The 12,687-nt window shown below is 33.1% G+C and overlaps 1 long non-coding RNA gene across 25 annotated transcripts in view; it reads left to right on the forward strand.

Annotated features, from left to right (window-relative positions):
* Positions 1-12,687, forward strand: part of LOC102724542 (uncharacterized) — a 368,996-nt gene that overhangs the window by 61,564 nt on the left and 294,745 nt on the right. For 20 of the 25 annotated variants that reach the window (NR_187701.1, NR_187699.1, NR_187692.1 and 17 more), the window contains exon 2: positions 5,317-5,446. The exons of the other annotated variants lie outside the window; for them this stretch is intronic. This is a non-coding gene — a long non-coding RNA (uncharacterized LOC102724542). The remainder of the gene's footprint in view (positions 1-5,316; positions 5,447-12,687) is intronic. 25 annotated transcript variants of the gene reach the window in all.

The following is a 12,687-nucleotide window of genomic DNA, read 5'->3' on the forward strand; positions in this document are numbered from 1 at the left end:
TAAATTTCATTTAATTGATACCTTAGCATTATCCCTAAGTTGTAACTATACTAATTTTCTTATCCCATTACAAATATTTTTCATATCCATTATAATTATTTAATTCGTGAGTTATTTAGAATTGTTTTTAAATTGCTAATCATAATTTTTGTAATTATTAATCAAAATACATTGTTGTTGGACTTCTGATATGTAGAATTTCAAACCATTGAAATTTGTCAGACTTGTATACCTAGCACACAGCAGATTTTTAACAAAGTTTATGAATTCTACAATTGTTGGTTGCAATATTTATATTCATCCACTAGTTAGGTTAGTTAAAATAATTGTTTAAATATTCTAAATTTCTATTTGTATTCTTGCTTGTTAAATCTATTAATTAGGAAAAAAGCTAAAACATTTATCAATCTCTCCTTATAGTTCCATCAGTTTGTGTCCAAGTTATTTTGATATGTCGTTCTTTGTGTAGACGAGTTTAGATTCATTGTTTTTAATCATCAAGAAAATTTGAAGCTTTTAATATTATGAAGTAATATTCTTTATTAAAATAATTTTTCTTTATTAAAATCTATTTTAGTTAAATAAAATAAATTCTATTTTACTTGCTATTAATAACTATTTGTTTAATGACACCAACTCTGTTAGTATTTGCCTAATAATTCCTTTTTATTATCTTTCTTAGTATTTCTCTCTTTTTTTCATGTCTTAGGTTGATTGCAGCTGATAGCATAAAACTATATTTTTGGAATCTAGCCTGCTGTTGTTATCTTTTAAACTAAGATTTTAGTCCAATTACATTATTAGTTAATAAAGGCAGTCAGAATATAGAAGTTCAGAATTCTGAATCTGCCACTTATTACCAGGTACATGACTTTGTGCAAAACACAAAGACTTTCTATGTCTCTTCATTATTTGTTAATTTGGATTTATAGTGCCAATTCTCTCATGAAGATATTGTGAAAACTAAATATATTAATATTTGTAAATTCTTTTTAACAGTCTCTGGAATATAGTAGGTTCTATACAATGGTGTGTTATTGTATTTAAATTAAATTTCTCAACTGTTTTGCTCATTGTTTGCAGTATAGTTAATTTATACTGTTTTATTTCTACCAATGTTTTTCTCCTTTTTACCTTTTGTTGATTCATTTAAAAATATTTTAATCACACTTAACTTTAAAAATCTCTCCTTGCTTTATCATCTTTTTTCAAAGTTTATCATGGTTTTCCCCAGCAAACAGTAAAAAAGTCTGTTCAAGAATGAAAGCCAGACTGTAAAGTGCTGCCTGTAATCCCAGCACTTTAGGAGGCCAAGGGAGGATGATTGTTTGAGGTCAGGAGTTTGAGGCCAGCTTGGGCAACATAGAAATAACTTGTCTGTACAAAAAATTTTAAAAATTAGCCAGGCATGGTGATATTCACCTGTAGTCCTAGCTACTTGGGAGTCTGAGGCAGAAGAATTGCCTGAGCCCGGGAGGTCAAGACTACAGTGAGCTATAAGTGACTCCAGCTTAGGCAGCAGAGTGAGATTCTGTATCTTACAAAAAAAAAAAAAAGAATTAAATATTTCCAGCAGATAAGATAACAAATCAACTAAAGTACTCATTAAAATCCAACACAAATTATGGTTAGCAAATACCCTGCTGGCAACTTTCAAAGACTATATGTGTAGTCATTTCTTTTTTGCCAAAATTCAATATAATTTTTCCCTCAACTGAATATTAGAATAAATATTTAAAATATAAGCAGCAGAAATGGAGACATACTTCATTATGGAGGAGATACAGTGATTCAAGTCAGAATTGGCTGATGAGGAATTTAAAAAAAACTTTAGTTAGGCAACCGATTAGAGGTTGCCTTTTCGACAGAAATATTTTAGTTATAATACATTAATATAGGGAAGAAAGGACATTGATAGCATTCCAAAGCTATCAGTGAAAAGGGGTAGTATTTTCAGTGATTTATGTACTGGGCTTTTCTAATTTTCAGATCAAAGAATTTTCTTTCTATATCATTTTTAACATGCCACTAATAAATTTGGTGAATCAAGTCTTCATCAGTCTGGGAAGCCTCATTGCTATCTCCTGTGCCTTGGGTTGCCTGTAAGCATAGGTCACTTTCTATCTAGGTGTTTCTCAACATCCAGACATTAAATGGTAATCCTGTTTAAGCATCACATCATGCTGGAAGGCTCTGAGTGAATATACATTTACCTTTGTTGTGTAAAACCAAACGCTGAATCTGTCCAGACTCAGAACTAATACTTGGGTATACCGCATATTAAAATGGATAAATTAGGACTCAGAAACACCATTTCTGTGGATAGAATAAACAAATTCTAAAGATAGAAATATCAGTACCATCGTGTGCTTTATAATTCTGAATTACAGTTTTGCAGAGTTTGTGGGAACCTTGGATATTATTTGGTCCAATCTCTCATTTTACAGACATGGAGCCTAAGACATCAAGAGAGGATAAGTGACTCATTTATTGCCTTAGAAATATAAATGCCAGCTCAGAGAAACAGCATTCCATGCAGTTTCTTATTTGGCAATATTACGGGTTTGATGTGGTTAGATATACTGATTGCTGTTTTTTGTTTGGCTGTTTTTTTTTTTTTTTGTGGGGGGCATTTATTACATACAGCTTTGCTGTCTAAGTAGATTGTAAACTATTGAGGAGAAGGATTACATGTTGTTAAGATCTGTACAATAGCACCAAATACCATCTCAAATTGATGCCTAATCCCAGGTCTAATACTTATTAAGAATTCAATAAATTGCTGAATAATTTATTTTTGGAGGAGCAGCTGTAGAAATTTTATGTTTTTAAAACAGAAAAGCAATAGAAATAGACAGTAATGCCATAAATACTGGTGATAGAGGTGAGAGAGTAGCAAAACCATTTCAGGGAATACTGCAGAAATCATCCATAATGCCTTTTTTGTATATAGAGCTACCTAAGAGCAAATATGCCCAGATTTAAGGAAAGAGCATGTTAGGCTCATTTTATGAGTAATCAAGAATTCTGCCTAAGGAAAACTGAGGCTTCAATTAATTTCTTTTCTGAAAAGATGATATCAAATTAAACTTCTGTTTGGAAGTTGTCTTATTTTGTATATTTAAACAATAATTCTTGCTTTTCATTTATCTTCTCATGAATCAGCTGTTTTAGAACTGTAGCATATATAAGGAAAAGAATAGCTGGATGCACTTAGTTTGAAAGGATGAGTTATTGATCACCTTTCTTGAAAAAAAAAAAACTGATAGGCAGGAGGATACTCTGGAAGCTGCTGGAGAAAGGGATTATATAAGTCAGGACTGGTTTGCCTGAACCATGTAAACAAATGAGCTTCCAAATCTCAATGATTCAGAGAACAGAGGCTTATATTTTGTACATGCTTACTGTCCAGACCAACTTTCCTGCTTGGAAAAGTGTTGCATTCCACCTCCTCATCAGCCTAGGCTTTTACAATCCCAGGAGCCCTTGCATTAAATTCTTAGAACTGGAATATCACTCCATATCTACTCACATTTTACTAATAGAAGCAAGTCACATGATTCTACCTAACTTGAAGCTGGTAGGGAGGTACCTTTTATTTTATGCCCTGAAATAGAAGAAAACTGAATATCAGTGAACAACCTATTGTCTTTGATAGAGATGCATGTATATTACTGATTTTATGTTTGCTCAGGCTTGAGACAGGAGACAAAGGCGACTATTATCCTCCTTAAAGGTAACACATACCCTCACGTGGTTAAAGGAAATTATTCCACAGTGACCTCAGATTTATTTTGAATAAATAAAAAATAAGAAGGTGGCCTTTTGTTTCTCAATCACAGTTCAAGCCTGTCTATAATTTCATGGCATTTCCCATGAAGATAAAAGTTACTTGTTACATGTCAAAGGCAAAGATTGTTAGTCCTCCTTTGGTCTAGAAATGCTAAATTACTTAGAAAATGGCAAAAGTAGTTTCTTGGCAATTTTTATGAATCTAGTTTCTCAGGTTGTCTAATGTAATGTCACTATTGCTAGGAATCAATTAACTACTAGAAATCAGATGAACTGATAGCTTTAATATGTATGTCTGTGAGTGTGTGTGTGTGTAACAATAACACAACCCCTGGATTAGTAAGGTTAAAAAAATGAGAAGGGGGGAGATCTCTTTTTTTTCTTTTAAAAACCACCACATTAAAAAAAACTTGTCTTACACTAATACAATCAATATTTACAACCAATTATTAATAAACGAAACCTATGGTCCCTCTAGAACTTTTCATTTTTCTTCATTTTTGCCATGGTTTTCCCCTATCACTTTGCCAGTTGTGTCTCTATACACTACTAAATTTTTGCTATGGCCTCAAATATGAATGTATTATTGCCTATACAATAATAGAGTATACTAGAGTGTCTCTTATTTAGGTCTGTGGTCAAAATTCACAGTACAAATTTGTAAAAATATATGTCAAATATTCATAAAAATAGCAGGTGAAATATGCAGCTCCGAGAAATTAAATAACTTGGCAAAACTTCCATGGAGAGTAAGTGGCAGAGTTAGGGTTTGAACTCAGATCTCCTATGTCTGTATCTGGGAAATGTAAATTTAAGGAATATTGACTTTAGCTTGTTTAAATATTTTTTCCTATTGCTTTCCTAAGACATGTAATACCTTTCTTTTCTAAAAATGAAATGATATATTTTAAAATCTTTAAAAGGTATTTTCCATGTGTAATCAAATGGTTATTTTTTGAGCTGCATAATTTCAGATTTCTTGTCTTTATAATAAAAGTAGCTCTCACTTTATGCTAAGAATAAATGTCTCCAAAGGACATACAGAAGAAATATGTATGATATGAATGTCTTTAAATTTGCTGCTTGTAGCCATCAGGGATTTTTGAATTTGTGGAATGAACATTCCAAATTCCAACCATTCTTAAAGTATTAAAATTATCTATCTAGTTGAATGATCCTCCTAAATGGTCATAAGATAATAATTTCTTTTAAATATTATATTTTACTTACTTCAGTTAAGTAAAAATGGGATATGAGATTTATTTACTTGTTCTTGTCCAATCACTATATAGTGAAGTATATATTTATGTAATTAAAAGAGGCTTTAATTGAAGTTTTAACTTACTGTGTGAAAAGAAAATATCATGACTATTTTTGGATGACAAAATCAATTTGACAAAGGAAAGGAACATAGCTTCATAAGGTTATTTTGTGCATTCTTTTCTGAGTAAAGACTTTGCAGGCAGAACTTATTTATGTGTTGGAAATTGCATCTCATTTCTCACCTCAGGTGTCTCTCCACAGGTGCCAACTGTAATACATCAGTAGCTGAACAGCTCATTGCCCTCAAGTGTTCTTGCTCATGCCTGGCTGAGTTATTGAAGAAATTGCTCAGATCTCAAGCCCTTGTAGATCACTGGTCCTGGCAGATGTTGTAAGTTTGGTTTCTTCTCAGCTCCTGTTTCTTTCATCAAAGAGCCACTGTTAGTTGATACAGTAAAAATTGGTGAATCAGTCAATTAACAATCTTTACTGTCTGCATAAAGGAGAAAAAAGACTCATTATTATTCCAGTATGGAAATCTCTACCATCTATTTGAATTGAGTGATTCAAGATCCTCAATACATTATATTATGTTATTTCTGAAAGAAAACCCATTAGGTTACACCACCTAGAATATACTCACTTTCTGGCCCATTTTTAATGCCTGGTTGGCTGACAAAAGGCCACAAAATCTCCAGGGCTTTTGTATCCTATTTACTCTGTGCATGGCAGACATTTGTATCAATGACCATGTATTTCCAAGCATTAGAGCATTTCACGTCTCTGCCCCCTTGGAAAGTAGGCATGACCATATTACTTCTTTTGACCAAAAAAAATTGTGGATCTCCTTCCTAATTGGAAGCTTTAAGAGCTAGTATGCAATTCTCCATAGTCTATCCTCCTATTTCAACAGTCTTGGAAGTATATTTCAAAATGAAGCCTCCAATATTCTAGATTCCAGAGTAACTGTGATGAGTAAAACCCCCAGCTCATCCAAGTCAGATGTGAGTGTGTGTGTTAGAAATATAGTTATGTTGTGTTCATGCACTTACCTCAGCATAACCTGCTATTTTGACAGATAAACTGTGTTTTCCCAGAGTTTGTGCTATAACCTAAATGAGCTGGAGTCCTGGAGGTGCACTGGGACTGTACTGAAATGTAGCACTGCGTCTGCATCAGGTTTTATTTATGTGAAGTTAAGCTCAGAGAAATTGGTTGTTTCCATTAGCAACTTGCTCCTTATTAACCTCCCAAATGATATTAAAAATACAAAGTATGCTTCCTAGTCAGAGAGCTAGAAAGTCAATTGAATATTCATGCTGTTCCTTTCTTCTCCAAGTCCGCCCATATCCTCGACTACTCTTCTTCAGGAAAAGCTTCACAGAGCTGGAGACTGTGTGTTCCTTCTTCAAGCAGCATCGATGTTTTCCTGATGGTGCTCAGTGAATTCTGACCGCACTCTCTGGAATCTTACTTTTTCATGACGCTAGCTGTCTCATCTCAAGAAAGCCTGGGTGGCTTTCTCTTGATCTTTTATTACACATTTCCTTATTCCTTAAAAATAACTCAAATGCAGTTTTAAAACAGCTGACTCTGAAGCCAGATTAGGTGGATCCCAATTTTGGCTCTTGTGTTTGCTAACTTTAGGACACCCTAGACAATTTTATTAAGCTTCTGTGTTTTTCATTTTTATATAAGAATAAAGGAACAGCATTTTCTAACTCATAGGAGAGCTATGTTACAGATTAAATGAGTTAATTAGCATTTACACATTAAATGCTCTAATTACCACCTATGTCAACCCTTTGGAATACATGAGGCTGGCTATTGTCTTTGCATTTCATTCTAGGACTGCATATGATATAATCCACACTGTTACATAATCCACATTATTGCAAACATACATTAATTTTCTTCTTTCATGAAATTAAAGTAGGAACTCCTTAAGCTTAGCAAATAGTGCTTTTTCCACTCTGCCTACCAGCCTTTGTCACAAAGGCCTCTTTTTCATAGTTTACTAAATAACGGACAGGCTAGCCCAGGATGTCATAGACACATGTTGCTTTGCTGGGGATATATGTCATAGGCTGTTTTCATTCAGAAAATTCAAAACTCATTGCGTAATCTTGCCTTTTTTGACCAACCTTTAAATAATTAATGAAAATCAATTATTTCATTATACTATTAAGGTCTCTCACTTGGCGGAATAATATCTTCAAAGCTTTGATTATCTAATCACAACTCTACATTTTAGTGGAGCAAGCCTGGTATGCAACACAGCAGGGTTTTTAAAGACTTCAATATGATGTCCTTCCACAGGAGAAGATTGTTTTATTTTTCTGGTTTTAATTTTGTAATTCTTAATTGATTACTCATTTGAATGTTGTACATAATAATTTCTTACTATGTGGGCTGTTTTGTCCAATTAAAATCATTCAAGTCTCTGCTTTGGAATAAGCTTCAACAAAAGGTAGAGGGAAGGTTTATCATTAATTTTACAATTTGTGTCTTTGAAGATGTAATTACCTAAATTGTTTGGTTTAAAAATTCCTATGTGTTTGATGCACAGAAAATATTTCCATATATATGTATATATATATACACACATATATATATATATACACAAATTTTGTTTTATATTCAGAATATAAATGTTTTTGAAATAAAATAGTATAGGAGACATCAGACAAACACAAGAATATGACATAAATTATAGAAGTCATTTGTCTGAATAAGAAAGAACATTTTGATTTAGGAGATAATTTTAAATTAAGAGTCTACTTTCCATTCAGAGAATAATTATAATAAAGTTACATTAAGATTCTTATGTCAAAATCATAGTGGCAATGTTAGATTCCTGGAATGTCTCTTCTATGACTCATTATCTTCTCAAGAAATAAATGGAGATGTAACAAGTAGTGAAATCTATCTGAAGTAAGCCACTAAGATATTTTATTCATCCTGAAGTTCATATGTTTGACAGCCGTTAGATTATCATTACTGTGAGAAAAATTGGAAAGTGTGGGATCTTTGGTAGTTTGTCTTTTTCCCGGCTCCAGAGATTATGCTGGTATCCCATCAGTCAGCATAATTCCATTGAATTTTTGTTCTAGGTACAGGCTTCACTATACACAGGGTTTTGTAGAAGAGTGTGTAAGGTTTTATTTGTTCATGTGTTTGCCTGTTTTGGTTTCCAAAGCTATCAGGCCACGATCAAGCAGAAGGCAGAAGAGAAACACCCAGATTAGTAATCCATGATTTTTGTGGCTACTGTTGCTCTTCGCTATTTGCCAATGCAGAAGTAGAACTGAGAGATTGGATTTTTACAACGTCATCCGCTTGGGGTATAAATGTTGTCATTCAAGGCACACCTGTGTGGTGTTTTAGTAAAACCCTCATATCCTGAGTAGAGATCCAAACTATTAACATCATTGGGACAATAATTAAATAGCAATAAGCAGGCACTTGTGCAAACTTTGGCTTAATATCGAGTAACTTGTTTCTAGGCCACCGTAGAAATAGTTCAATCTTCAAAACTGGATTAAGGCATTCTGTAAGGTTTTAGCACCCCTGGGCACCAAAAAGGAGCAAATAAAAGTTCTCAATAGACCAGGTGTGGTGGCTCACGCCTGTAATCCCAGCACCTTGGGAGGCTGAGGCGGTTGGATCATGAGGTCAGGAGTTCGAGCCCAGCCTGGCCAACATAGTGAAACCCTGTCTCTACTAAAAATACAAAAAGTTAGCTGGGCATGGTGGCAGGTGCCTGTAATCCCAGCTATTCGGGAGGCTGAGGCAGGAGAATCACTTGAACCCGGGAGGTGGAGGTTGCAGTGAGCCGAGATCCCACCATTGCAGTCCAGCCCAGGTGACAGTGAGAAACTCTATCTAAAAAAAAAAAAAAAAAAAAAAAAAAAAAGAAAAAGAAAAAAAAAAGTAGTCAATAAACAATATCATAGGTCACATGTTTTTTGTCATGATTTTTCAAACTTAACCAAAAATAACTAGAGACACAGAGAGGCAAGGCAACATGAATAAGAATCATTACATACAATAGACAATAACTATATGTAGCTAGAAATTAGAACTATACTACACAGAATTTGGAAAAACTACACTTCTTATGTTTGCAAACTAAAATACAAAATTAAAGCAGTTTTTAGGGAGCTGTCAACTATTTTTTGAATGCTTATCAGATATTTTAAAGAACCAAGTAAGATTTCTAGGACAGCAAACAAAATAATAACCACAATTAAAAATAAAACTTGATTGAAAACAATAGATATCTCTGAAAAAGAATTAGTGAACTGGAATATAAGTGAAGGGAAAATATCCAAAATAAAGCTCAAAGAAATAAATGCATGAAGTAGAGAGATGTTACAAGGATAAGGTATACAATAGGAAGGTCAAGCATCTAATTATTCAAAATGCTAAAATGAGAAGAGAGAATGGAAAAGAGGTAATATATGAAGAAGTAACACCTGAAGTTTTCAAAATTTGTGAAACAAATCTAAGCACATATTGAATAAATCAAACAAAAATAAAAACAAACAAAACAAAAAACCCTCAAGGCAACAAATAAAAAGAAACTACATGCAAAAACACATCACTAAAAATTTGTAGAACATCTAAGGAAAGGAAAAAGTGTTGACTATCTTCAAAGGAGAAATATTTAGACTTTGTAACTGAGAAAATAAAACATAAATCTACAATGTGCTGAAAGACTTGTATATTTAGGGAAAACATCCCTCCAGAACAAAGGTGGCACACAAAAGTTAACAGGACTTTGTCACAAGAAAAACTTCATTAAAAGAAATAATAAAAAGTGCTTTAAGTGGAAGCAAAATGACACCAAATGAAAGTTCAAGGATGCAGAATGAAATTAACAGCAATGAAATTGCAAATAAACTTGTACACACATACATACATATGCATACATATGTGTATGTGTGTATATATATATATGTATGTTTTACATACATTTTTGTTTATATACACACCATTGAAAATACAAAAGTATTATCTCATAAACGCACATATATATGTTTGCACATGTGGCGGTGTTTATGTAAATATATGAATGTATTTAATTTAGTAGAAAGGTAGTAAATAATTTAAAGTTTCTGAAGGACTAAATATCATAAGTGAATAAGATAAAAAAACAAAATTGCACTAGATTATGATATGTCAAGGTTTCAGATTATAGTTTTGACGCTATTCTTTTCAATAGTTTAGTTGCTATTTACATTTAAATGAAGATTAATTAAACTTTAATTAAAAAGTCACACTAGCCACATTTCAAGTGCTCAATAGCCATATGTGGCAAATGACTACCTCATTGGACAGCACAGCCCTAGAACATTTCTGTATGACATAAAGCTTTATTGCAAAGCATTAAATTCAGAGTAATAAATAAAATAACAGAAGTGTATGTGATGTCCCAAATAACTAAAAATAATAATAATTTAAACACCCACCCACATTTTTTCTGGTTTGGCATGTAAGAAGCTGTTAGTTGTTTCTGCATTCTAAAAACAAATGAAAACTGAACAAACTGAAAAATCAACTACTTTTAGCTCTATCAGAGAGGTGTGGTCACAGGGAAAACGATTTGCTCCCAAATTGGAAAGACTGATAGCCCTAACCTCTGCAGGAACAAGTGTTGAGGCAGGAGAACTGGAATTATAACTACTGAGTTACTGGAGGCTCAGCATCCACAAGCCTGAAAGAAAATCTGTAGAGAGACACAATCATAGTGTCTCTTTAGACACTATGACTATAGACAGGAGCTCCGATGCTTCTGTGATTTTTACCGCTAAGAGCTGGACCGGGTTGTCACGATGAATATTGATGGCAAACAAACAACAAAACCTTTTGTACCTCTAGAGGGAGAGGGGTAAAGGAACCATTTAAAAATATGCCAGAGCATTCTGTTCTTAACAAGCTCTGCTCTCAGAAAAAACTAACCGGAGCCTAACCTGCTGGGTTATTAAAGTCTAACCTTGGAGAATGAAAATTACTCAGCTCTAGTCAGCTTTAGCCTTCCATATAGGAAAAAAAAAGAAAAAAAAGAAAAAGAAACACTCTAGTGACTGAGTCCCACCAAAGTGGGGAACAGCCCTAAGAAACACATGTGAAGCTCACAGCCTAGAGGTACAAGCTCAATAAAAGACAGACCCACTTAAAGATTTATAGAACACTCCCACTCTCCCAGGCCTTACCAGTACATCACTGAATGCCTATTTATAGCCTTTCTATTACCCAGTACATCTTATCTAGCCATCAAGAAAAAAATTACAAGACATATTAAAAATATTAAAGAGATAGAGCAAATTAAATTAAAAATTAAATAAAATTAAATAAAAAATTAAAGAGACAGACCTAAATATAGCAGAAATGTCGGCATTATCAGACAGGAATTTAAAATAACTATAATTAAGATGCCAAGAGCTATAATGGATAAAGGACCCAGCATGTAATACCGGATGGACATTGTACATGGAGATTAAAATTCTTAGAAATAACAAAAATAAATTTTAGAGATCAAAAACACTGTAAGAGAAATCAAGAATGTTTTTGATGGGTTTAGTGGTAAACTGAGAATGGCTGAAGAATGAATTTCTGAGCTTGGAGATGTCTCAGTAGAAACCATCAATATTGAAAAGCAAAGGGAAAAAAGTCTGAAAAACAAACAGACAAACAGGAAAGCTGCCTCACACTTTTAAACAAACAGATCTCACTAGAACTCAATCACTATCTCAAGTACAGTTCCAAGTGGTTGGTACTGAAACAATTCATGAGAAATTTGCTCCCATGATCCAATCACCTTCCACCAGGCTCCACTTCCAACATTGGGGATTACATTTCAACATGAAATTTGGGCAGGGACAACATCCCAACTATATCAGACACTGAACCAATAAATAAGAACATATAAAAACAGAAAGCACAAGGCTAATTTGGGTTCAATTGTGAATTCTACTAAACATGTTAGGAAGAAATTGTACTAATTTCTTACAATCTCTTTAAATATTGAAGTAGAGGAAATACTTCCTAACTCATTTAGGAGGCTGTAATATCAAAACCAAAGATATTATAAGAAATGAAAACTAATAGACTAATATCTACTATAAACATAGATGCAAAATCTTCAACAAAATATTAGCAAGTTGAATCCAACATGTATAAGAAGACTTATACACCACTACCAAGTGGGATTTACTCCCTTTATGCAAAGCTGGTTCAACATCCAAAAACTGATTAACGTAATCTATCATATCTGTTGATATAACATAACTACAGTTTAGTGATGTAAGTAAATAAAAAAATTATGTAATCATGTCAGTAGATGCAGAAAAGTGTTTAACAAAATGCAATATTAATTCATAATAAAAACTTTCAGTAAAATAGAAAGAGAAGAGATTTTCCTTAACTTGTTAAAGAACAACTACAAAAACCTGCATCTAACAAAATTTTTAACTGTAAAAAAACCAAAACTTTCCTGCTATGATCAGAAACAAGGCAAAAGTCTCCTCTCATCACTGCTTTTCAGTGTTATATTGAACATGCTAGCTACTGCAATAAGACAAGAAAATAAAATTTAAAAGTATATAGAATGAGAAAAAAAGAAATAAA

This window comes from Homo sapiens, chromosome 2 (genome assembly GCF_000001405.40).
Source record: "Homo sapiens chromosome 2, GRCh38.p14 Primary Assembly".
NCBI classification, from domain to species: Eukaryota; Metazoa; Chordata; class Mammalia; order Primates; family Hominidae; genus Homo; species Homo sapiens.